The sequence below is a fragment of the Homo sapiens genome, chromosome 2, assembly GCF_000001405.40.
Source record: "Homo sapiens chromosome 2, GRCh38.p14 Primary Assembly".
NCBI classification, from domain to species: Eukaryota; Metazoa; Chordata; class Mammalia; order Primates; family Hominidae; genus Homo; species Homo sapiens.
The window spans coordinates 73060117-73084861 of NC_000002.12; the positions used below are offsets into that span (position 1 = coordinate 73060117).

General features: G+C 52.4%; 2 protein-coding genes across 15 annotated transcripts in view, besides 5 other annotated features; both read right to left on the minus strand.

The window, feature by feature from the left end:
• Window positions 1-11596, minus strand: part of SFXN5 (sideroflexin 5) — a 129677-nt gene extending 118081 nt beyond the window's left edge. For 11 of the 13 annotated variants that reach the window (NM_001371739.1, NM_001371738.1, NM_001371743.1 and 8 more), the window contains exon 1: window positions 11488-11596. In NM_001371739.1, coding sequence (NP_001358668.1) covers window positions 11488-11589 — 102 coding nt within the window. In that variant the 5' untranslated portion in view covers window positions 11590-11596. Of the gene's footprint in view, window positions 1-10343; window positions 11209-11487 lie in introns of those variants that run through there. The other 2 variants (NM_001330404.2, NM_001330403.2) reach the window with 1 other exon arrangement.
• Window positions 10535-11324: a silencer, noted in NCBI's record as "silent region_11631". NCBI's record gives its function as "represses an Ori minimal core promoter by ATAC-STARR-seq in GM12878 lymphoblastoid cells {active_cell/tissue: GM12878}" and the evidence as "EXISTENCE:reporter gene assay evidence [ECO:0000049][PMID:35858748]".
• Window positions 11465-11514: an enhancer, noted in NCBI's record as "active region_16023". NCBI's record gives its function as "activates an Ori minimal core promoter by ATAC-STARR-seq in GM12878 lymphoblastoid cells {active_cell/tissue: GM12878}" and the evidence as "EXISTENCE:reporter gene assay evidence [ECO:0000049][PMID:35858748]".
• Window positions 11715-12194: an enhancer, noted in NCBI's record as "active region_16024". NCBI's record gives its function as "activates an Ori minimal core promoter by ATAC-STARR-seq in GM12878 lymphoblastoid cells {active_cell/tissue: GM12878}" and the evidence as "EXISTENCE:reporter gene assay evidence [ECO:0000049][PMID:35858748]".
• The window catches only part of RAB11FIP5 (RAB11 family interacting protein 5), a 39567-nt gene continuing 28087 nt past the window's right edge, over window positions 13266-24745 (minus strand). The window contains exons 4-6 of one of the 2 annotated variants that reach the window (NM_001371272.1): window positions 19535-21547; window positions 15877-16066; window positions 13266-15608 (exon numbers count right to left, since the gene is read on the minus strand). In NM_001371272.1, the coding sequence (NP_001358201.1) occupies window positions 15405-15608; window positions 15877-16066; window positions 19535-21547 (2407 nt within the window). In that variant the 3' untranslated portion in view covers window positions 13266-15404. The remainder of the gene's footprint in view (window positions 15609-15876; window positions 16067-19534; window positions 21548-24745) is intronic. The other variant, NM_015470.3, reaches the window with a different exon arrangement.
• Window positions 19518-20116: an enhancer, noted in NCBI's record as "H3K4me1 hESC enhancer chr2:73306762-73307360 (GRCh37/hg19 assembly coordinates)". NCBI's record gives its function as "activates a minimal SCP1, AML or CMV promoter by ChIP-STARR-seq in primed H9 embryonic stem cells {active_cell/tissue: H9 hESC(primed)}" and the evidence as "EXISTENCE:reporter gene assay evidence [ECO:0000049][PMID:30033119]".
• Window positions 24265-24559: an enhancer, noted in NCBI's record as "tiled region #6541; K562 Activating non-DNase unmatched - State 15:Elon". NCBI's record gives its function as "activates a minimal TATA promoter and a strong SV40 promoter by Sharpr-MPRA in K562 cells {active_cell/tissue: K562}" and the evidence as "EXISTENCE:reporter gene assay evidence [ECO:0000049][PMID:27701403]".

A 24745-nucleotide genomic window follows, 5' to 3' on the forward strand; every position in this document is an offset into this window, starting at 1 on the left:
GACATCCAGATCCTGGTCCACTAACAGAGACCAGGGTTCCTTAGGAAAGGAGCGGATTCAAAGGCTGGGGTAGGGAGGGTACAAGATGAAACTGGTACATTTTGTTGCACCAGGAAGTAATGAAGTCTTACCCCCAAAAAATGATGGGGATATGTTAAAAGGATCAACGAAGGGCAGGTGGGACACTGTGTTCTTCCAAATGTGATACCCCGAGAAGTCCACAGCATCACTCACATAATATTCCAAAGGGACTAAATAAATCTAATCACAAGAAAACAACACAAACCCACACTGACAGACATTCCATAAATTAATTGGTTTTGTTCATCAAATATGTCAATGTCATAAAGACAAAGAAAGAGTGGGAATGAGACTGTTCCACATTAAAGAAACTAAAGAGACAACTAGATGCACTGTGTAACTCGGGATTGGATCCTGGCGTAGAGGGGGGAATGCTCTCAAGAGCATTACTGAGACAAGTGACAAAAGTGGAATATGGACCATAGGTTAATAAAAGTGTTGTATCCATGTTAAGTCTCCTGAATATAATTACTACACTGCGGTTATATAAGAGAATGTCCTTGTTCTTTTTTTTTTTTTTTTAAGACAGGGTCTAACTCTGTTGCCCAGGCTGGAGTGCAGTGGCACGATCTCAGCTCACTGCAACCTCTGCCTCCCGAGTTAGCAATTCTCCTGCCTCAGCCTCCCGAGTAGCTGTGACTACAGGCCAGTGACACCACGCCCGGCTTATTTTTTTTGTATTTTTAGTTGAGACAGGGTTTCACCATGTTAGCCAGGATGGTCTCGATCTCCTGACCTCATGATCTGCCCACCTCGGCCTCCCGAAGTGCTGGGATTACAGGCGTGAGCCACCGCGCCTGGCCAAGAATGTCCTTGTTCTTAAAAGATATATGCTGGACCGGGCGTGGTGGCTCATGCCTGTAATCCCAGCACTCTGGGAGACCAAGGCAGGCAGATCACCTGAGGTCAGGGGTTCAAGACCAGCCTGGCCAACATGGTGAAACCCCGTCCATACTAAAAATATAAAAATTAGCCAGGTGTGGTAGTGCAATCCCAGCTACTTGGGAGGCTGAAGCAGGAGAATCGCTTGAACCTAGGAGGTGGAGGTTGCAGCGAGCAGAGATCGCGCCACTGCACTGCAGCCTAGGCGACAGAGCAAGACTCTGTCTCAAAAAAAAAAAAAAAAAAAGTCACATACTCTGATGTATTAGGAGATGAATGAATACAACCTATTTGTAAATAGTTGAAGAAAAATAACATGTGTAAAAATACAGGGCAGCCATAAAACCTGGAAATGTAGATACTATAATTGAATGCAGATTGAAGATGTCCTAATGATACCATGTATATTTGCTATCTTTTCAGACTTTATGATTACCTGTAGACAAAGAGAATAATAAAGGAAATGTGATGTTAAAAATTGGTAGATCTAGGCAAATAGCGAAGTTTTCCTTATTCTTGCAACCTTTCTGTAAGACTAAAAGTGTTTCAAAATAAAAAGGTAAAAATTATATTTTCAAAAAAGCTAGATGAAAATATACTAAAATGCTAATAGAGATTGCCTCTGGGTAATAGGCTTATGTATGATTTATATTTCCAGATCTTTAAATTGCTTTTGAAATTAAAAAAATCAATATTATACCTAATATACAGAAATGATATTACATTTAAAAATACATATTTAGAGTAAAATGCAAGCCAGTCACAGTGGCTTGCTCCTATAATCCCAGCTACTTGGGAGGCTGAAGTGATAGGATCACTTGAGCCCAGGAGTTTGAGATCAGCCTGGGCAACACAGTGAAACCCCATCTCTACAAAAAATTTTAAAAATTAGCCAGGCATGGTGGTATACACCTGTAGTCCCAGCTACTTAGGAGGCTGAGGTAGGAGGACCACTTCAGCCCAGGAGTTCGAGGCTGCAGTGAGCTATGATCATGCCACTGCACTCCAGCCTGGGTGACAGAGTGAGAGCCTGTCTCCAAAAATAAAATAAAGTAAAACATGAACTGATATTTTAAGTATTATACTTGATTAAGAGCTCCTGAAGGACATGGGCTATTGAATGTTCCTTCCTTATCCTCCCTGGCTCGAAGTCTCCTTACATATCTGGAAGGAAGGGTCTTCTGCCACAGGAATCCATGAGTGGGCTGATGAGCAGCCAATGGCCTCAAGGCTTCTGGGTGGGGTAGAGCTGGGCTGGGCTTTGAAGGGAGGGCAGGATTAGGAAAGGGTAACAGTATGGCAGCTAGTGGTCCAAGGAGGAAAGAGGATGAGCAGGGGAAGAGGAGAGAACCTGGAAGTAGAATGGCCTGAGTGAAGCAACTTCTTGAAGATGGTCCAGCAGAAACTTCAGCCTTTGACTTGTCCTATGGTCTGGCACGGTCTTCATCCTGTCCCAGCCCTGCCAGCCTTCTTGTGTCACTTTCGACCATAGCTACTGGGGGAGACTCCCAGATAAGGCATTTTGCTCCACAGACACCTACAAACTCCTAATGAGCTAGGCTCAGGGGACAGACACCAAATGAACAAGCCCTCAAAGAGCTCACAGCCCATCAAAACAGACTAATAACTATAAACAAGTAACTACAAAACACTGATCAGAGTTTAAATGAAGCATCGCGAAGTATACTGGGGACACACAGAGTTCTTCCTATGTCTTCCTAGTTTAAGTCAAGGAGGTGTCCCAGAGGAGCTGGGACCAAGGGATGGATGAGTTTACCTAGCAGAGGAGGGTATATGCAAGAGGATGAAAGCATAAAGCTTAGGATCAGAAGCTGCACCAGACTCCTGTGGTCTCTTCATTCATTCATCATTCAACCCACTACCGAGGATCTACTGTGTGCCCAGCACTGTGCTAGGTCCTGGAGGTAGCAAGGCTGACCGACTGTGGGGAAATGAGGAAGAGCAGCCACAGATGATGCCTCACTTTCTAGTGAGACATGAATGTTTGTTAACCAGAATAGGGACAGGAAGAAGCATACTGATTAAGTGGAAAGAAGATAAAAACTCTGTATTGGTCATATCAGTCTGAGATATTTAAAGGGACTTCCAGATATAATTTTTCAGCAAACATTTGGACTGAGATTCAAGAAAGAGACTCTGAATTGGAAATGTCAGGTACAGATTGCCCTAAGACCCCCACCCCACCCACTATAGAGACAAACCTATAGTCTGACCAAGTCAGATTTACTGACTCACTCAACAAAGAAAAGCACCACAGCAGAGGAATTATGGGGTGCCTTGCCAAACAAAGAAAAATATTTGGTATATAATTTAAGGAAGATAGAGTAAAATGTAAATGAAGCAGTGCTTCAATAGGCTCCAAGCAAAGCAAGACTGTGTGAAAAGGAGTCATCATAGGTCTGGACCAACCACTCAGGGTCTTGTTTCCTTAAAAACTATAAAGTTAAGATTAATGAGAAACGTTGTGACCAGAAACCCCTTATTTGCAGCTATGGGTTGATTCTCCGAGGCAAAGTGACTTAGACCTGCCAATCAAGAGGTAGATGGTTCATTCCTAATGATATGACTTAAACAGCAAAGTTCCTGGCAGTCTAGGACCTTATAGAGTGAGACATGAGTATGAAAGAGGTGGTTACTGGAAGAAGGTTGTTCGATACTTTATAGATCCTGTGGGTCCTCGTGAGAAACATTCTTTCTTTGCAGCTGGCTCTGTGTCTGTCCTCCCTGTCTGATGAATGGCAAGGAAGGTTATACTTTCTCAGTCTCAGTTCATTTTTATTTTCTCAATAGTTCAAAATGTATAGCCTCCCTCCCAAATTCAGCTCCCATCTTTACCCAATCGCACAATCGGTGGATGTTTTTCCTCCCCTTTTTCTTTACTGGAAGAATGAGTCAGCCAAGTGATTCCTTCTCTTTCCCTTCATAAGAAAGGTGAGTCAGCTAATTCTCAGCAGGAGCCAGGGCCTACAGCAGCAGCTGCCTTCCCACCTCCACCAGCCAGCTCTCTCCCATCTGCAAGCCCCCCAGGGAAGAGCAGGCCTTGGGAGCAGCAGCAGAGGGCAAAGATCCCAGAAGAAGCTGACACCGCCCCGCAACTACACACACCAGACCTCCAAATTACTGCTCTTCGATTAGGAATAATATACTCGCTGAACCTACAGCCCAAAGCAGAAAGGCTGGGCCAGCCCAGTAGTCCTGAATCAGCTGCACCCTGAACCACCTGGGTACTTCAAAAACCAGGCCATACACCCAGGGATTCTGATTCTATTGCTCTGGGTGTGGCCTCCAGGCATCAGTGTCTATTTTAAAACCTGCCCAGTGTGACTCTTGGAAATTATGACCCCTCTCCACTGCACAAACCAGCCCAGGAGCAGCACTAGAAAAAACTCACTGTCTCGCCTATAGGAAGTAAATGATTAAAATATATAACCACCTGCAAGGTACTGTGATTTTAGAACTTTATTTCAAGCAAACTATGAGACATATCCCCCCTGCCTCCCAACTCTCAGCCCACACAAATCTCCCAACCTTGAAGTGAAGAAAGCATTTGTCTGCCCAGCAAGCTCTCCATACCCCAGAGGGAGCCCTGTGCAACCAGCCTGCTCTGCCCCACTAGGCCTTGGTCCCCAGCACACTCATACCCCCAGTCATCTCAGCAGATAAGTGAGACTTCCAAAGGAGCAAGGAATTTTTGTTTTATTTTTGAGACACAGTCTCACTTTGTCACCCAGGCTGGAGTGCAGTGGCACGATCATAGCTCACTACAACCTCCACTTCCTGGACTCGGGTGATTCTCCCACCTCACCCTCTAGAGTGGCTGGGACTACAAGCATGTGTCACCACACCTGGATAATTTTTATATTTTTTGTAGAGACGGGGTTTCGCCATGTTGCCTGGACTGGTCTCAAACTTCTGGGATCAAGCAATCTGCCCACCTTGGCCTCTCAAAGTGCTGGCATTACAAGCATGAGCCACCACACCTCGCCAGAAGTTGTTAAAAAACTTCTTCCCTTCTTTCTGAGACAGGGTCTCACTCTGTTGCCCAGCTGGAGTGCAGTTGTGTGATCATAGCTCACTGCAGCCTCAGACTTCTGGACTCAAGGGATCCTCCTGCCCCAGCCTCCCAAGTAGCTGGGACTACAGGTGCATGCTACCACGCCGAGCTAGTTTTTCAATTTTTTGTAGACATGGGGTCTCACTATGTTGTCCAGGCTGGTCTCAAGCTCCTGGCCTCAAGCAATCCTCCTGCCTTGGCCTCTCGAAGTGCTGGGATTACAGGCATGAGCCAACTGCACCTGGACAACAATTTTTTTTTTTGAGATAGAGTTTCGCTCTTGTTGCCCAGGCTGGAGTGCAATGGTGCAATCTCGGCTCACTGCAACCTCTGCCTCCCGGGTTCAAGCAATTCTCCTGCTTCAGTCCTGAGTAGCTGGGATTATAGGCGCCTGCCACCATGCTCACATAATTTTTGTATTTTGTAGAGACAGGGTTTTGCCATGTTGGCCAGGCTGGTCTTGAACTCCTGACCTCAAGTGATCTGCCCGCCTTGGCCTCCCAGAGTGCTGGGATTACAGGCATGAGTCACTGTGCCTGGCCATGTGGGGGAATCTTGAAGGGCTATTTTTTGTATTTTTTAGTAGAGACAGGTTTCACCATGTTGGCCAGGCTGATCTCGAACTCCTGTCATCAAGTGATCTGCCCGCCTTAGCCTCCCAAAGTGCTGGGATTACAAGCATGAGCCACCGCGCCTGGTCCTGGACAACAATTTATTTACAGATGGACTGAAACACAAATGGGAGAAAGTATGTGTGTTTGTTTCCTGTCCTGGGGCCCCAACATGGCAAACATGGTGTCTGGGCCGGAAGGAAAAACAGTGAGTTCAGGAGAGGAAATGACCAGAAAAGGAAGAGGAAAGGAAGCAAAGCAGGTCTCAGAGGTTCCCTGGGTGCTGTGCTGTCATCTCCTCCCTTTCACTAGGCAGCTGGAGTAGTGGTTAAATGCATAGACTTTAAGTTTACAGGAGAAACAAGGGATAAAGGAACATGCTAACCACTACCACAGAGATGCCATCAGCAACATTGAGAAGGTGGGGAATTCTACAGGGACGAACAACTGCTTCTTCAATAGGAAGGGAAAAAAGGAAGACAGAACTAACAGATTAAAAGATACAAAAGAGGCCGGGTGTGGTAGCTCACGCCTGTAACCCCAGCACTTTGGGAGGCCGAGGCGGGTGGATCACCTGAGGTCAGGAGTTTGAGACCAGCCTGGCCAACATGGTGAAACCCCATCTCTACTAAAAATACAAAAATTAGCAAGGCATGGTGGCATGCGCCCGTAATCCCAGCTACTCAGGAGGCTAAGGCAGGAGAATCACTTGAACCCGGGAGGCGGAGGTTGCAGTGAGCTGACATCATGCCACTGCACTCCAGCCTGGGCGACAGAGAGAGACTCTGTCTCCAAAAAAAAAAAATAAAAGATACAAAAGAGAAATACCCAAAGGTAATAATATGTGGGACTTATGGGATCCTGATTCAAACAAATCAACTACAAATAAATTAAGTGATGGTCAGGGAAATATGAATAGCGACTGGTTACTTGATGATATTAAGAATTAATGGGCCAGGCATGGTGGCTCATGCCTGTAAATCCCAGCACTTTGGGAGGGCCAGGCAGAACAATCATTAGAGGCCAGGGGTTTGATACCAGCCTCAGCAAAATAGCAAGACACCTGTCTCTACAAAAAAAAAGAAAAGAAAAGAAAAAACAGAAAGAAAACAAACAAACAAAAAATACATATAGCCACGCATGGTGGCACACCCCTGTAGTTCCAGCTACTCTGGAGGTAGAGGCCAGAGGATTGCTTGAGCCCAGGCGCTCAAGGCTGCAGTGAGCCATTAATTACTGTTCCACTGTACTCTATTGTGGGTGACAGACAGAAACCCTGTCTCTAAAAAAAAAGAAAAAACAAATAATGATTTTAGGTGTGTTAAGGACATGGTTATGTTAAACAAATCAAAAAACCCTCCAATATCATGTGATAAAGAGAGCATTTCACCTCTGTGATATTCTTACCTCAAAACCCAAAAGAAAGACATTAGGCAACCCAAGTTGAGGGACACTCTATAAAATATCTTCCAAAATTGTCAAGGTCATCAAAAACAAGCAAAGTCTGAGAAACTATCCCAGGTACTATGACTGCCGCAGACCAGAGGAGGCTAAAGAGACATGATGACTAAATGTAACATGTTCCTGGATGGGATCCTGGGACAGAAAGGAGACATTAGTGTAAAAAAAAGTAGTAAAATTCAATGAAGTCTGGAGTGTAGTTAACGATAATGTACCAATGTTAGTTTCTTAGTTTTGAAAAATGTACTGTGGCAATGCAAGATGATAACAGAGGACAATGGGTGAGGGCTAGGCAGGAATTGTTTGTTGTCTTTTGACTTCTCTAAAATTATTCCAAAATAAAAAAATTTTTAAAAAGCTAACCAAAGAGTCCTTATTTTTTAGAGATACCTACTAGTGGGTTCAATGAAATGATGGGATGTTTGGCCTTTGCTTCAGAGTAATTCATTGATTGGGTTGTGGGGGGTGGGTGCATAGATGAAACAAGGCCGGCTTTAAGTTGGCAACTGTTGAAGCTGGATGATGGGTGCATAGGGGTTTACTGACAACTGTCTCCAGATTAGTATGTTTGTAAACTTCCATAATAAAAAGTTGACAACAAACCAACAAACAAACATGAACTCTGGAGACAGACTGCCTGGGAATTTACTTAATCTGTTTGTGTGCTGTAGTTTTCTTACCCATAAATTGGAGATCATTGCACCTGCTTCACAGGGTTGTTGTGAAAATTCAGTAAGTCAATACACAAAAAGGCTGGAATGATGCTTGGCTATCGTCACCATCTTATGGGGAGAAAGATGGTCACAGACCACCAACACTCATCACCCTTTCTTCACACTCTGACCCTCCACACCCTCCACCCTCTTTCTGCCCGTCCTCTTGCACAGGGAGACACTTGAGGGAATAAAGAGGAGTTCTAGAGCGACTCCAGGGAATAAGGAAAGACCTTGGTAACAAATCCTGCAGAAAGCGGTGAGATTAATTGGGGAATAAGGGTCATGTCCCTGGCATGGGTGCTGGGAATGAACCCTGGATTATCAACCACCTTGAAGCAGGCTTCTGTCAGGCCAGCACAAGGTACTATGAGCATATATATTACACAACTATTACATGCCAGGGCAGGACACAGAGATGTGGGCTGGGCCCTAAAGGAGCTCATCAACCCAGTACATATGTAGCCAACCTTTGTGTCTTTAGACTCACCTCCTTAGAGACACCCCAACTCTGGGATGTCTCAGCACTGATGAACCTTACACTGTCAAACATGACACCACTTGCAATTTTGTAAGATCCCTAAGGGACAATTTGGAGAAAAGTTGGTCCACCTCCCCAGTCACAACCTTACAAGTCAATTTAATTCAAGTCCGCAAAGCCCTACTGAATTGTCTCCAGGATATTCATGTATATAACAAATCTTCATTAAGCACCTCTTAACTGCCAGGCACTGTGCTGAGCCTTGGAGAGTCAACAGGGAGTAAAGACAGGCACAGCCCCCACTTCTGCAAAGTCCATAGTCAACAGAGAGACACAGATGGCAAAGAAATACTCATCACAAATCAATGTATACACCGAGAAAGGTACTTTGCAGTAAGCGAACACTCAAAAATCCAACCTGGGAGTGCAGGAGGCTTCTCCAAGAAAGTGATGCTTCATGGATACACCAGGGATGAGGAAGAATGGGAACAAGAGTTGGGGGTAGAGGAAGAGGTGATGTTCCAAGCAGATGGCCCAGTGGTGGGAGGGAACGTGGTGGGTTCAGAGGCTGAAAAGCAGCCAGTGTGATGTGAAGGAGGGTGCGAAGTGTGGGTGGGTGGGTGGTGGGATTCAAGGAAGAAGTAGTCAGTGGGGTGGGCCATGCATACTTTGGGGGCCCCTTCAGAAGTGAGGTCTTTATCTCAGAAGCAGGGGAAGCCATTGGAGGGTATTTAAATCTACAAGGGCGTAGGGAGTCCCTTGATCAGATCTGCACTGTTGGGACTCTGACTTGCAGAAAGAGGAAGGACTGGAAGAGGGCCAGAGTGGAAGCAGGGAGACCTGTTGTGAGGCTACTGCAGTGACCCAGGAAATAGACGATGGGGGCTTGGTCTAGGATTCTGGCAGTAGAGATGGGTGGACTTGAGAGCTGTGTAAGAGGTAAGATCACTGGGCCTCTGGTTGCATTTAAAGGGTGAGGGAGAAGAAGGAAAGAACACAGGCGGCTCCCAGGTTTCTGGCTGCATTGATTGGGTGGCAAGTTGGGCTGTTTGCAGAGCCAGGGAGCCATGCGGGAGGAGCAGATATGGAGGAAAGAGAAGATCCTTAACATGGATGAATCACATGCAACGTGCTTTATGCAGGCCACTATGCTGGAGGAGGGGAGCTTCAAAAGTGCATACAACAAACACTTTTACTGCCTTCAAGAGCAGTGCCAAAAAGAAGTACCGCTATGGCTGCAGGAACAGGGTAGCCTAAAATGTTTATCTATGGCTCTAGAGCAGTGCTCACAGCACAGGGCTCAGTCATATAAGCCACTAAGACGTATTTGATAAATGTCTGTTAGGTCACTGAATGTCCCTAGTGCCACATACAGATAACAGACACCAGGACAAAAAGAAAAAGAAAAAAAAAAAGGAAACACAAATCTTTTACTCGGCACATTACTATATGCCTAACCTGTCTCCATCAGGGTAAGACAGAGGCAGAGAAGGGCAAGATCAGCCCCTTCTTGCAAAAGGCCTACAGGGGGTTTGAGGAAACCAAGTCGTCACACAGCAAACATTTAGAAGACCACAGGGCAGACTGTATGGAGAGCTATGAGGATCTGACTCAGGTGGCCAAAGAGATGTGCAGGAGGAAGCCTGCGATCTGATGGGACCAGAGAAGAAGGGAGCAAGTGTTTGCCAGAGAGGCAGGCCCGACTGAGCCTTTAAGAACGAGCAGAATGGGGGTGGGAGCGGGGACAGGCAATGTAATAAGGTCACTCAAGTCCAGGCAGGGACACCCCGACACTCTCGCCCTAGATGGCCTCCTACACTGGAAGGAAGATGCCAGTCTCGCCTCGGATACCTACATGCTGAGATGGCCTACTTTTAAAAGGAATTAAAGTCCTGTTAAGAAACACTGGGGACATTTTTTTCAGACGGCTCAGGAGCCAAGTTCCCTAATTATCAGCAAAGCTCGGGGCACCCCCTTGCTGGAACCAGTCCCCTTCCACCACAACAACAAAAAAAGAAAAAAAAAGCCACCGCACCGACCTTAGCACAATTTCCTTTCTTCCTTCAAAGTTCTTTTCTGGCCGCCTCGGCTGCCGCCCACCCCTGGCAAGCCCCGGTTCACTTCAGCGGTCTCTCTGCCTGTTTCCTAATAAATTCCGTCTCATTGGTGCGGGAGGCGCGGGAGCCCGAGGGTCTGCGGCGCGGGAGCGGCCCCTCCCCGGCTCCGGTCTCCGGGCCCAACCAGGCGCCCGGGCTCCGCGTTCCACCCCCGCCTCCGCAGTCTAGGGCCGAGTCGGCGACGCCCCAGAGGAGGTCCCGGAGGGAAAGGACCCCTGTCGCCGTGCCCCGAAGAGCCTGAGCGGGTGTGCCCAGAGCCAGTCCCCGGCGGCGCGGGGGCCCGGGCGCGGGAGACCCTCCGCGGAGAACACAGCGAGGAAGAGGCTGGGGGGGGGTTCCCAGGCGGCAGCCCCTCGGAGGGACGACGGCCCCAGGGGATGACACAGCGTTTCCCCCGCACGCCCTGGCTGCGTCCCCTCAGGGCATCGGCCGGCTTGCTGCGTCAGCGAATCCTCAGCCCGAGATGGAGAGCAGGGACGGGGGACGCCGGACCGCCGCTCGCCTCGGCACTCGCCCCCTCAACCTGCTGCGCGCGCCGAGCCCGGCTTGGGGGCCAGGGCTGGGGAGTGACCGCGGGGCGCGACGCTGCCCGGCGGCACCGCCAGCAGCTCGAAAGGAACGTCAGTCCCCACCGGGGGAAAAAGTTAGAAGGCATCCCGGCCACGCCAACTTCCCATCCAGGGCCAGACTAGAACTTTGCGTCCCGGGCGGGCAGCTGCACAACCCGGAGCGACCCTGAGCAGCCGCTCGAAGCCGGGCGCTCGGGACCTTGACCGCAGCCGCCGGTGGCCAATCACAGGGCGCCGCGGGCGGGAAAGGCTAGAGGGCGCGGGCAGTCGGGGAGTGACGGCGCCAAGGGCCAATAGGAAGCCAAGATGGGAGTCCGCGCCCGCCCCGTTGACCAATGGGAAAAGGGTGACTGTGACCGAGGTTCCCCCCCTGGCGCTAGCTGCAGGCTCCGCTGGCCGCGGGTGGGAGACCCTTGGGCGGAAGGGGACTTTGGAGGGGAGTTTGCTCGTCCTCTCTTTGCCACCCGCCGGCCCGCAGACCACAGCCCGGTCCTCACCTGCTGGAAGCGGGGTTTGCCCAGTTGGAAAGGAGGTGCATCGCTCGAGGCGCTAGCGGCACTAGCCGCCGCCGCCGATGCTGTAGTCGCTGTATCCGCCATGGCCACTGACGCCCGCAATCTCCGGCCCTTTTAAAATGTCCCTCCTCGGCCCCCGCCACAGCTGCCTCTCCCGATTGGCCCTAATCAACCGCAGCGAGCGGGAGGCGCAAGGCGTTGTGGGGAGTGTAGTTTTTCGCGTCGCGGCGCTTACAACCGTAGACTGCGGAGAGTTGCGGCCGTCCGGAGAGGTCTCGGTGCCCGCTGTCCGCGTTGCAAGGTGCAAGGTCGGCAGTCCAGGAAAGGTGTTCCTGTACGACGACCACGGGCCACCCCTCGCTGCTTAGTTGCCCCCAGAAGTTAGAGTTGCTGCCGTGGGCGTCGCTCCTGGGGCCAGGCAGCGCAGAAGGGTCCCATTCAAGGGGGAACCTGGGACCAGATGGGCAAAGACTCCAGGCGGAGTAGGGTTAACCTCGGAAGGCTTTCTCCAAGGAGTTGCACTGCGGACCTTCTCGTACTTTCCTCCGTCGCCACCCTGCCCACTCGTCCTGTGCTCTCCGGCTGCCCTGACACTCAGTTCCTGGAGCATGCTGGGGCCTGCCCGCCTCCCGACCCCTGAACATTCTGTACCCGGAAGACTAAATCTTCGCCTGATGCTGGCTTTCTGGCTTTAGCCTAAACATTGCATTTCCCAGTCCATCACTCTGCTTGCACAAAATCCCACAGAGGCTCCGTGGCACCCAGCACTTCTCTTTTGCACTCACAACTACTTACTGTTCTGGACAGTCTTTCTTACTGTAAAGTTCACAGGGCAGGGGCTATGACTTTTTGATTCACTTCAGTTTTCAGAGCCAGACATAAAAGGGCTCACAGTAGAGACTCAAATAAGTGTTGGCTGTGAGTTCATCAGTGGGGGATTAAGAGCCCTGGCAGCTTTCACCTTGTCTGGCCAACCAAGGAAGATCCCTCCTGGGCCTAATTCCTGGGCAGGAGGAGAACTTGGGACTAGGGTGGGTGGGGAGGGTGTTAGGTAAGGGGGAGTATTACAGATTGTGGAGTAAGGATCAGTATGGATAATAAACACATACAGTTGTAGAATGGATTAGCTGAAGATTCCCAGCTGAATTACCTGGTCAGTGAGCCAGACTTCGGGAGCTGCCTGTTTTGCCCAAGATGACAGTAGAAATATTTGGTCTTCTAGGGAACTCCACTTTGGGTCTCATTAGTCTCGTGGTGGAGTGCAGGGTTGGCTCATGTCTGCCAGTGTTTCTGGACACTACATGAGCTGTAGCAGTCAAAGTTTTTCATCCTCTAGTAGTTGAACCACAAGAAACACTTTTCATAAAGCTAGGGGGAGATTCTAGCTAGCCACGAAGAACAATTTGTATCTTGGATTTGTATCTTATCTTAGAGATTCTATCTAGCCATGAAGAACTATTTGTATCTTGGATTTGTATCTTATCTTCCCCTGCTAGACCATGCAACTTGAGAATAGGAATCCATTTCTTACCCTCTGTATTACCAATAAATGGGCCCATCTTAGGTGCGCAATAAATGTGGGTACCCTGGGAGTCAGAAAAGACTAAGTTCAGGCTGCTGGGCAACACTGTGCTGCTGCCCCCTTATAAGGGGCAGGGACAGTGTCATCCAAGAATCCCATCACCTTGATTTAAGGTGCTTTCTCCCACAGCAGCCTCCTGTAACTGTTCATTCCAAAACAGGAACACAACAGAGCCACCTGCAGTACATGAATGTTTTATTCTTCATAAAGTGCTTAAAACATGAAGAACAAGCTCTTTATAAAGAGCCTTAACTAGGAAGACAAACAGCAAAGCAGAACCATGCCTGCTCCCTGCCCAACCCACCTGCAACTTTCCTCCAAGTGTGGCTAGGAGAAGAAACATCAACAAGGACCCTGGGCTTCGATTCAAAAACTCCTCTGAAGCCATCCATGCCCTGGGCATTAGGGAGGCCCACAAAGGTCAGGGCCAGGGCTGGGAGTGAATAAAGCCCAGAGGAATCCCCAGTAGGGGGGGTGACTCCCCCTCTCTCAGAAAAGATACTTACTTCTCTAATACCCAATGACCCCCAAAAGCATGACTGAAACCCTGGGGACCAGTGGATACTTTTCTCAGATTTGATGAGTGGAGTTTAAGGTAGGTAACGTTACAGGGGCTTTCCTCCATGTGTGGCGCTCCTCTGCTCCATCCTGGCAGCAGACAGACATCACCCAGAGGGCACGTGTCTGCCTGAGGCCTTCCAAAAGCAAGCCCACAGGCCCTCTCCTGAAGAAGTGGTGGTCCCAGAGGAGCTCTTGCCTCCTCACTAAGCTGTTAAGTATCCTTCTTCAGCACCTCATCACCCCCCATTTTTGCTAATTCAGGGTGCCCCAAGCTGCCAAAGTTCCCTGCAGATGCCTTGGGGAAGCCTACCATGTTTTCTACAAGCAAACCAGGGGCTGGGCCAAAGGACAGATACTTCATTTCAAAGTGCACTGCAGCCAAGCCAGGCAAGCCCCTGGGGCAGAAGGGACAGGCTGAGATAGCAGCTTAATGGATGGATGGGAGGACAACAAAGGCTTTTTCCTAAGTATAGGTGTCTCCCAAAGGCATAGTGGGACCTCCCTCTTCCAGGCAAGCTGACTGGTCTAGTATGGCTAAGTCCTGAGGCCAGACAATGAGAGTGAGCAGGGCAGCCCCAGGCCTGCCTGCCCGCCTGCCCAGCAGTGTTTATCCTGGGATCCTCCTATTGGGGTTGAGGGAGGGGAAGACAGCAGGAAGGTTGAGGGAGCAGCAACTTGGCCAGACCAAGAGATTAACTTTAGGGGAGGGGAACAGCCCACAGCAGTGCTGTCCATTCCCATTCCCAGGGCCCTGAGAGAGCCATCCCTATGTATTCAACAGGTGGGAGGGGGACGCCACACAGCGGGAGAGGTCGACATCCAGGGGCTCTTGACCCCGCCCACCAAAGGCACATTTTAATTGGTTTCCAAAAGTTCAAACCCTGCAGCAACACAGAGTTTTGGCATCTGGACAGGCAACAAGAATAGACATGGAGGCTTGATCCCCAAATCATAAGCAGTCCCAAGCCCCAGCCTGGAGGGACCTACACATTGGAGGTGGTCAAGAGCTCGAAAAGCAAAAAGGTGCTCTCTCCGCACCCGCCCCTGCGCCCCACACATTCCCATGTGACACTCGTGGAAAGGTCAGAGGGGTCAGGGAGCAGCCTGAAGCACACACATCATCCACCACTGTCCACATGGCACTCGCCCCACAAACAGCTCCAGACTGAAGCAGACTCAGGACATGGCAGAGACTGGCCCAGACCACACAGGCTTCTTGCTCTCAGGGGAATGGGTGTGAGGCTGAAGAGGCTGGTTGCCCGTAACTCACAGACAAACAGGCAGCGTGGTCATTGTCCCAGTAATACTAGAAGCCCCTCCAGGGACTGGAGGGAAATGAAGGGGATGGGGCTTTGGCTGTGGGAAGAAATGGCTGACCATCCTTGGGGGATAATAAAGTATGTGCTAGCAACCAGTCTTGTCCCAGATTACTGCATCAAGCTACAGTTCACCCCTGCTCTGTCTTGGGGGAAGAGTTCCAATTCCCTGGGGCCCCCAAAGCTGAGGGATATGAAAACAGGCAGGTGGGAAAGACCCAGGGCTCCCAAAGACACACAAGTTGTGCACAGAACCTGATGCCTCCAAAGGGAATCCAGAGGGCCCCCTTCCAGCAGCCCCAGTTGAGGCAGGAGGGAGAGGAGCAAGGAGTGACAAGGCAAGACAGACGATGCCCCACTGCAGATGAGAGAGTTCAGGAGGAGAGAGGGCAGGCAGCAATAGGTCCATGCCAACCCTCCTGGGGGTAGGGTGAGGAAGGCTATTTGGGGGGGCCCGGGGGGATCTGCAGCAGCGTGGGTGAGGTCTCCATGATCCGCACCAGCAGCCGGTCGATGTAGCTCTCCAGCTCCTGCACATGCTCGTCCCGCTGGCTCAGCTCCCGCTCCCGCTGCAGGAGCAGGCTGATGAGCTCATCGTGGGTCAGGTGGTAGTACTTGGCCGACTGGTCCAGCACAGCTGAGTCCTGAGGCCGGACCGAAGACAGTGAGCAGGGCAGCCCTAGGCCTGCCTGCCTGCCTGCCCGCTTGCCCGCCCGCCCGCCTGCCCACCAACACCTAAGTTTCACCACCACAGGGCCCCAGGCTGCCTGTCTCCAAAGTCAGAGCCTAACTGGCTTCAGGACTCTGATATGGGGGACCTGGCCTGCTCCCTGCCCCACCCTCACCAGGACCAAGCCCTGAGACTCCACCACACATTCTGTCAGATGGCCCCCACACCCTGCTGGGCCTTACCTTCAGCCTTTTGGTGTCCACCATCTGGCCAGCCTGGGGGGCCTGGGTCACAGGCTGAATGCTCCCAGATGTGACTGTTTTGAGCTTCTCCAGCCCACTGCTCAGGGCTATGCTCAGACTGGAGCGGGACTGCTTCCTGTCGGGGCTGCCCTCCACAGGGGCGGCACTGAGGGGCTTCACGGGGTGGGGACTGCAAAGACATACAAGAGATGGGTTACACAGAGAGAAGGGTGGCACGGGTCAAAGGTGGGGCTGCCTTCCCTGTGGAGCCTCCAGGTCTGCTGGACAGAAAGCCCAGCACTGGGTGGTAGCTGCCCCTACAGAGTCAAGGTTTCAGGGCAGCGGTGTCCAGTACTCCTCAGCAACCCCCTGGGCTGGCCTCAATTCCCACCCCACCACCTGCTCCCTCCCCATTTCACTCCCTCATTCACCGGGTGAACTGACCCTTTCACAGGGACAGCAAAGGCCATGCTACAGACTCCTGTGCACCTGCACCCACCCTCTGTCAGGGACACCCTCCCCCAGCCATCTTCCCTCCTTTCTCTTCTATACTGTAACCTTTCTCTAGTGCGGTGACCAACCCTCCCAAGTTCCCAGTTTTCCCAGGACTGTGAGGATTCCCAGGACATGAGACTTTGAGTGCTAAAACCTGGGCAAACTGGGACACTTGGTCAACCAGCTCTCTCTAGGGGTTGCTTCCCATCAGCATTTACATAGCCCTGAAAAACCCTCCCTTGACCTTATATTTGCTCCAGCTATCATTCCTAGTCACCTTCCCCTTTCTTCTCACCCAAGCCTCTCCGCAGCAGCATGGAGACTACATTTGTATAATTTCTTACCTTTCATTGACTCCTTAACCCATTAGAACAGGACGTCGGTCTCTACCGGCCCACCACAAGTGGACTTGTTGAGGTCACCAAGCCCTGCTGGTTCTCACCTCACTGACCTCTGTGGAGCCGACACTTGAAGCACTCCTTCCTTTGGGCTGCTTGCCTCCCTTTCCCTTCAAGACCTCCATTTCGTCTTCTGACCCCACAGCCCCTTCTCAGTCTTAACAACTGCTAGTCTGCCCTTGGGTTCTCTCCTCTCCTCCTCCCTGCATCCTACCACTCTCCTAATCTCCATCTCTAACCCAGAGCTCACTGCCTGGACTCTAGACCTGCAGAGTCAGGTGCAGACTGGCTTGCTGCTCCCTGGGTTACCCCTCAGGTGCATCCCACTCCCCGCCACACCTCCTCTGTGCTGCCCTAGCAGTGAGGAGCACCTCTGGCCCCCACTGGCTCAGGTCAGAAAGTCAGAAGCCTAGGAGGTCCTCTGGCTCATCCTCTTCAGCCTCGGCCTTAACAATCAAGCACTGCCACCTTCCTACCTTCTCAAGCCACCCCACTCCTCTCCAGGCCAATGCTTAAACCTTCCTTCTAGTCACAGCCACTAAATCAGCTCCTCCATCTCAGTCTTGCCCACCTCCAACCATGCTGCTGCAGGATAATGATCTCAGCATTCTCAAAGCTTGAGAATCCTTTAATGGCTTCTATCAAGGTAAGAAAATACAATCTCTAACACAATCTGGTCCCTGCCCTTTCTTCATGGTCCACTACTCCCAAAGCCACATTCTTACCAAGATCTTACAAAAGCTATTCTTCTGTCTGGAACAACATTGCCCCTTCCTCCCGTTGGCTCACTAATTCCTACTCATGTTTCACAGTTGTGCAAAGCCACCTTCTCCAGGAAGCCTTCCTGATTCCTCCAGGCTAAGATGACCCTTCTCTGGGATCCTCCAGCACCCTGTGACAGGTACATAAACTATAACATAAACTGCATCAGGCTCCCACATTAACTATCCTGCCCAGGGGGACCTCTTACAAATCTATGCTTACTTCACAGAGGATTTAGACCATTCAGGAGTAGAAAGCAAAATGGCTTAGTCCAAGGCCCTGAACTCCACTGAAGGAAGGGTCACCCAGACCCAGAGACTCTCAGGCTAGATCCATGCATTCATTCTCACAAATCGGGAAGAGTGGCAGAGCACCCATGCTCTGGGCAGACAGTATGGAGAAAGAATGCATCTCAGTCCTTTCCTGACACCTAGGAGCCTGTGCTAGGGATGGGGTATAAAAGCAGCTCTAATGCCACCTGCGGGCTGTGCCAGGGAAGGGGAGGATGACCAGTGTAGTATAAAAGTGCCTTGAATGAGGGGCCAGGAGGCCTTGGCTTGTTTGCCCCCTTACATCAGAGGGATCTGGGATCCTAAACCCTGCGCCTCTCATGGGCTCTATTTCTTCCTTTGAGGAATGAGACAGCTCTATTTGGCCCGTCCACTTCATAACAGAAGGAACAAGCCCAGTACAGACATGAAGCCAACTCTGGGACGAATAAAACTTATAAAAAGTGGCAAGTATTATTAGAGGTCATGCTGGCAGACAGCAGGGCCAGCCGAGGACACTGCAACCACCAGCTCCCCCACATCCTCTCCCTCACCTCAAGGGAGGAGAGTCACCACCACCACCAGGGAGGGACACTGGGGGCAGCCTGGACTCCCTCCCACCCACTTCCCATATGTAGTTCTGGCCCCTTGGGGTTTCTTCCCTTCTTGGGTCCACTTTATCTTCCCCAGTGGATTGGACATTCCTTGGGAACAGAGTGGAGACAGTGTCTTTCATCTGTTCAGCATCTGACACATAGTAGGTGCTCAGTGAATGTGGATGACCAAACATGAATGCCTGGTCGGGAGGCCAGTGCTGGAGCCTGCCCTGCTCTCCCCTCCCTTCACTCGGTCCTCCTAGAGCGCTATCGTCCCAGAGGGACTTGCTGCCTTCTAAGTCACACCCCATCACCTCCCAGTGCCCTGAGTCTCCAGGCCTCTGCCCACATCACCCCTGACCAGCCACCTGGTGAGGTCACAGCTTCATAATTCTTCCAAACCTCCCAATGCCACAGTGAGCACAGTCACACAGGCATCCGCTGTCCACTCAGCGGTCCTAAGTGCATCAGAACCACCCCTTAAAAGGCACCAAACGCAAACCAATGAAGCAACTGCTGCGCGTGGGGAACCTTTCTTCTGAGAGTTACATATGTGGGAAGTGTTTGAGTTTTCCTTTTTCTTCTGAAGGTGTCTGCAGCTTTCTCTCTGACCTAAGTGCTGGTCCCTCCTCTGGCTCTCTGCCTTCCCCAGCCTGCACCCTCACTCTAGCAGAATAGGAAACTGCTCAAGGCTCCACTGCCAGCCTGCTCTGCCACGGTCTGCCCCAAGAACTACCCCCTGATTGACAAGTTCCACCGCCCCCCACCCACAGCTCCCCTGCGGCTGAGTGCACACACTCCAGAAGGGCCTACAGCACTGCTCTCCTTCCCTGCCAGCCCACATCGGCTCTCCCCACTTCATTCCTTATACCCTGCACCTCATCAGTGCTGTTCTCCAAACCCCTGGCTTGTGGGGGGCTGCCTTGATTATCCCAAGTCCCAAGACAGCAGCTTCAGAGGTGGTACCATAGAAAGCTCCTGTCTTCAAAGCCTGTACCGTCTTGCCTCTGGGGTAAAAGAGACCCTCACCTGCCCCACAAAGGATGAGACTGGAGTGTGAACCCCTCAGTCCCTTGGGCTGTTCTGCCCCCTGTCCACCCCCTTCCTCCTGGACAGTGTTCTGGGGGTGGATGCTCACCTGGCACTGGGCTGTGGCTCCTCAGCTGGTCGTGTCTCCAAGGGCAGAAGCACAAGCGGGGAGGCTGGGGTGGCTGCAGCGAGGTCCTCCCTAAGTAGGGCAGGGGAGCCCCCAGGTGGGGAGGGCTCATGGGGGCCAGGGAGTAAGGCTGGCTCCCCTGGTGGTGCAGAGGAGGTAGTCAGGGGCCAGGCTTCAGACAGGGGAGAGCATGGAGGGCTGGGCCCCCCACGGTGGTGGCTGGCCCAAGGCGGGAGAGGGGGCGGTGGAAAGTCAGGCTCTGGGGGAGTGGGCAGCTCTTCTGGACCAGAATGAATAGAAGATTCCCTCGACCCTGGCGGGGATGCAGATGAGAGGCTGGGAGGATCTCGGCTCCCCTGAAACAAGAAGGGGTTCAAGGCATCTTCCTTGGAGACCCACACATCAGCCTGCTGGGAGGTGGCTGACAAGGACCCAAGCCCCTCTCCTACTGGATCCTGGCCCTGGGCCTCAGGAGCCTCAGGGCCTTCTCCAACCTCTGGAGTCCCCCAGATGTGCTGACTCTGAAGAGCCAAGCTCTTTGAGTGACAGGGTATGGGGGCAGGACCCTCAGGGCAGCTGGCGGGTGCAGACAGGCAGGGCCCAGACACAGGGGGGCTGGCATCCTCCACTAGCTCTTCCAGGCCAGGCTGGCCCAGCAGGGTTGCAGAGGAGCAGCTGTCAGACTCCTCCGACTCACGCTTCTCTCCCTCCTCCTTGGTCTCCGGGGGACCGACAACCAGTGCACTTGGGGAGGCATCTTCTCCCTCTGTCTCCGGCCCCCTGTTACTCAGCCCCACTGCGGCCTTCTCCTCCTCCTCCTCCTGGGATCTTGAGGGTGTGAAGAGGCGCGGTGGCTTGGGAGGTGGGGTGCTGGGCTGCAGCCCCTTGTCAGACACCCACTCGGGTTTAGGCTCGGGCTCCGGTGGGGGAAGCCCCTCGCTCCCCTTGGGGCTCACAGTTTCTGGTGATTCAGGCTGCACCTGGGGAGCAGGCTCATCAGACTCTCCCCGAAAGACTAGTGAGGCTGTCTCAGCTGCAGGAGAAATGGTGACCACATCCCAAGGCCAGGCATCATCAGCTGTCTCGACGTCAGGGCAAAGCTGATTTTCGCCTCGGGAGGACTCATCGTCCTGGCCCTCAGCAGCGCTCTCTGGGCCCGGCAGCCTCTCCCACACACTGATCACTTCTGGGGAGCTAAATAGAGATGTCCCACTGTCTGCCGGACTCTGCCCTGCTTCCACTTCCGGGGCTGGCAGTTCCCTGTCTGGTTCTGAGCCTGAGGCTCTCAGCTGTAGCTGGGCTGACGAGGAGGGCAGGCCAGCCCCTACCGACCCGAGGAGCCCTGGGTCAGCCGCGCTCGCGCTCTGGTGGTTCGGTCCCAAGTCCAGAGGAACCCTGGGCTCCAGCCACACGCTGCTCCCACCTCTTCCTCCTCCTCCTCCTCCTCCTCCTCCTCCTCCCCCAGGCTCTCCCTGGGGCTCAGCTGCCTTCGCAGTCATGGCCCCAGGGCCTGGGTCTTGCAGCCCTGCCGCCTCCAGCCCCACTCCTGCAGGGGCCAGGATCTCGCTCCTGGCCTCTGGACGCAGCCTGCTGGCAGCAAAGACGTTGAAGGTGTTGTCCCACTCAGGCAGGGCTTTCCCAGGGGAGGCCAGGGGGGTGGGGCTGGCCCTCGAGGCACTGGGGAGAGAGGGAGCAGGTGAAGGAGAGTTTAGTGCTATGTCGGCTATGAGCTCCTCGAAGAAGGGGTTGCTCTGCAAAGAGGTGAGGAACGGGTTGGTAAGACCCAATAATCCAGGTGGGGTGGCTTCAGGGGCGGCGGTGGTGGCGGCAGCGGCAGCAGTGGCAGCAGCGGGGGAGGCGGCTGCAAAAAGGTTAGTGCTTAGCATGGGAGCAGCAGTGGGAGCAGGAGTGGGAGGGGCCGGAGCCCAGGGGGAGCAGGGGAGGTGGTGAGGAAGAGCAGCTGGGTCAGATTCTACCTGAGGAGACACGTCCAGGCTGTGGAGGGAGACAAAACCGTGAGCCTCCTGGTTAATGCCAAGACTGGAAAGGCCCCTGAGTCCCACGCCCCACCCCCTGCTTCGGGACCAGGGGCCATAACACACACATAGGCTGGATTTACCTACTTGGGCCAGGGTACAGAGGGAAGACCCCAACATGTAACATTATCAAGTGCCTCCCAAGGAGAAATATGCCAGGCAAAGCTATTTTAATGCTCACTCCAACCCCAGAGAGAAATCATCTCATCTGATAGGCAGGATCCGATCCAAACCTAACCAAGTGTTCTTTCCTCTATCCCATGCTGAAGCTTCTAAGGTTCTACTCAACAAGGAATTTACATCTGGGAAAACTAATCTGAAAGCGCCTTACATCCCTTTTTTTTTTTTTTTTTTTGAGATAGAGTCTCTTGCCCAGGCTGGAGTGCAGTGGCGCGATCTTGGCTCACTGCAACTTCTGCCTCCCAGGCTCAAGCCATTCTTGTGCCTCAGTGTGTGCCACCACACCTGAATAATTTTTGTATTTTTAGGAGAGATGAGGTTTCACCATGTTGGCCAGGCTGGTCTCGAACTCCTGGCCTCGTGATCTGCCCACCTGGCCTCCCAAAGTTCTGGGATTACAAACATGAGCCACTAAGCCTGGCCCCTTTTAGGACTAAAAGCAAAGAAAACACCAGCTGGCATGGGGGGATAAAGAGACCAGAGAAAGGCCAGGCCTAGGTATCTGGCTGGACAAAACCAGAACTTATAGGACCTAGCAGGGCACCTAGAATTCTGACACTTGAAACAGCCTGGGTTCTATTGATCCCTTGCAGAAGCAGAAGTAATGACGGGCTGTCATTGGGTGTGACAAGGTGTCTTGTTTCTTTGAGGGGCAGCCTAACTGGCTAAGGAATATAAGCCACCTGTGGAGAACGTCAACCAAAAGGTGCCCTGATGGTCCAGCCTTTGTCTGCCAAGGCTGGCAGTGTGACAGCAGCAGCAACTCTGGATGTCACCAGGGGCTTCTCAGGGACTCTGGGGACGGGGACAGGGCAGGTGCTCTTAGGACACTGGAGAACAGGTTCTGGCCTTCATCTGTCCAGGACAGGGTCCTTTCTGGGGGAAACGCCCCCTGCACTGGTGCTTATCCACAGAGTGAGGCCGACTCCAGAGATGCGGGCAGGGGCGTGCTCTCAAACTAGAGCTTCTCACTTCCCTAGGACCCAGACAGAAGGCCAGAAAAAATGGCTGCCTTGCCACTGAGCCACCGTCAGAGGCAGACCTCGGTGGCCTCACCCTCTGCCTTCTAAGCAGTCTCCCTCCTCATGGCTGGTCTCCCAGGCCTGGCTCTAAGCTTCCAGGACCCCTGTTCCTTGGCTCCTGCCTGTCCAGGTGGAAATATCCTGGGGAAACCCCTACACATCCGACTTTTCAAGCCAACCAGCTTCTTGCACAGGAAATGTAGACAGTGAGTCCTGAAGGGGCAGAAGCCGGGCTTTGGCCAGCCAGCCCATAAGGAGTGTGGCTTGGGGTAGGAAGGGCACCTGTGGAAAGAGCATGAGCTGTCTGGAGCTTGCCCGGATTCTCCCAGGAACCCAGGGCCCAAAGAGGGCAGACCCACACAGAGGTGGACTGAGGCAGGTCAGCTCGGCAGCTACCACCAGGGGCGGACCACAGGAAGGAGTCCAACTAAACAGAGGCACAGGTAGCTCCAAAGATGGTTCTGGGAGAAGGGAGGTCAGCCTCACAGGTCCCAAACCCAGGGATTTCTCGTAAGAATCAGTTTCCCGAGAGTCTCCTGACCCTATTTTTCCCCTTACAATAACTCCCCATCCAAAGGTAAATTCTCAGTCTCATCCCCTCCACCTAAAGATGGAGGGAGAGGGAGGTAAAAATTCCCACCTGTTCCCACCCCACCTGGGCTTCCACTACTACCCTGCTTCTATGGACATGGTGAAGATACCAAAAGAGGAAGAATCGTGGGCCCAGAGCCTCAACCCCAGCAGATGCCCTTTCTCCCTTCATTCCAGACAAGCCCCAGGCCAAGGCACACATGCCTGCTGTGGGGACCAAGGGGAGTGAGAAGCAACATACACCACCACCAGGTCAAGAGCCTGACCTCAGCCCACTTGCCATTAGTGCATCCATACCACACCCAGCCCAACCCTGTCTACAGGACCCGGGCCCCCAGGAACAGGGCTAGAGCACTCTGAGCTGCTTCTCTCCCCAGCCCCCTTTATGACAATAGGCCACAGTGGTCTGAAGGAAGAGAGTCCCATCAACATTAAAAGCACTACGCTTAACTCTGCCCCCTCAGCCCTAACCTGGCCTGCACTCACCCTTGCAGTCTTTCAGCAACCTGGCTGGCAGTCAGAACTGCAGGGACAAGAGCGGCAGGGGAGTAGACTGGGAGCCTCAGGTTAGGCTCGGCAACCTCCCTCTCCCGGCCAGCTCCCCAGAGGTACACACAAACCTGTTTGTATAGAATCAGCAAAGGGCTCTCCCTGGAGGAAGGGACTCCAAGCACCAGGCCTGGCAGGCTTTACAGAGCCAGCAGTACTTCTGAGGGCATCTGTCCATCCTCCTATCTGGTAACACATCCCTCCTTCATGCCTTCCTCTTCCTTGCTCCACACCAAGTGCACATTCTGAAGGTTCTCACTTCAAAACATCTCCCTCCCACTCCACCTGGCCCAGGTCAGGAACATATTCCCACGTATGCTTGTCTTTGCAGGTCATGCTCTGAGAACAAATAAACACCTCTGCATCCTAGAACCTACTGTGCCGGCCTGGCACACTCTCCCCACCCCCAAGCGGTGGGGGCAGCAATATATGCTGATTTGTCTTCTCTTTTAGGATCAAATGCTGGGAAGGAAGTCAGAAGTCCAGATGTCTCTGCCCCTTCAACCTGAGGGAATAAAACTTTACTGCCTGCAGGAAGCTCTGAACAATTGGTTGAACCTGCCACTCAACACAGGAACCACCTGTTCACCCTGACAGCCCCTCTTCTTAAACACTACACCACAGGGCTACCTCTGTAGCTGAAGGCCAGGTGTCACTAGCAGACAACTCTTCCTTGGGCTGAAAAGAGCTCTGTGTCCTTGTTATTTCCACACACTGGTCCCAGAGATGGCAAGTGAATCTGCACAAGCTCTCTACCAGGCAATCCCCCAAAGGCCGAAGCCAGCCTTGGAGGCACGTTCATCTCTAGCAACACT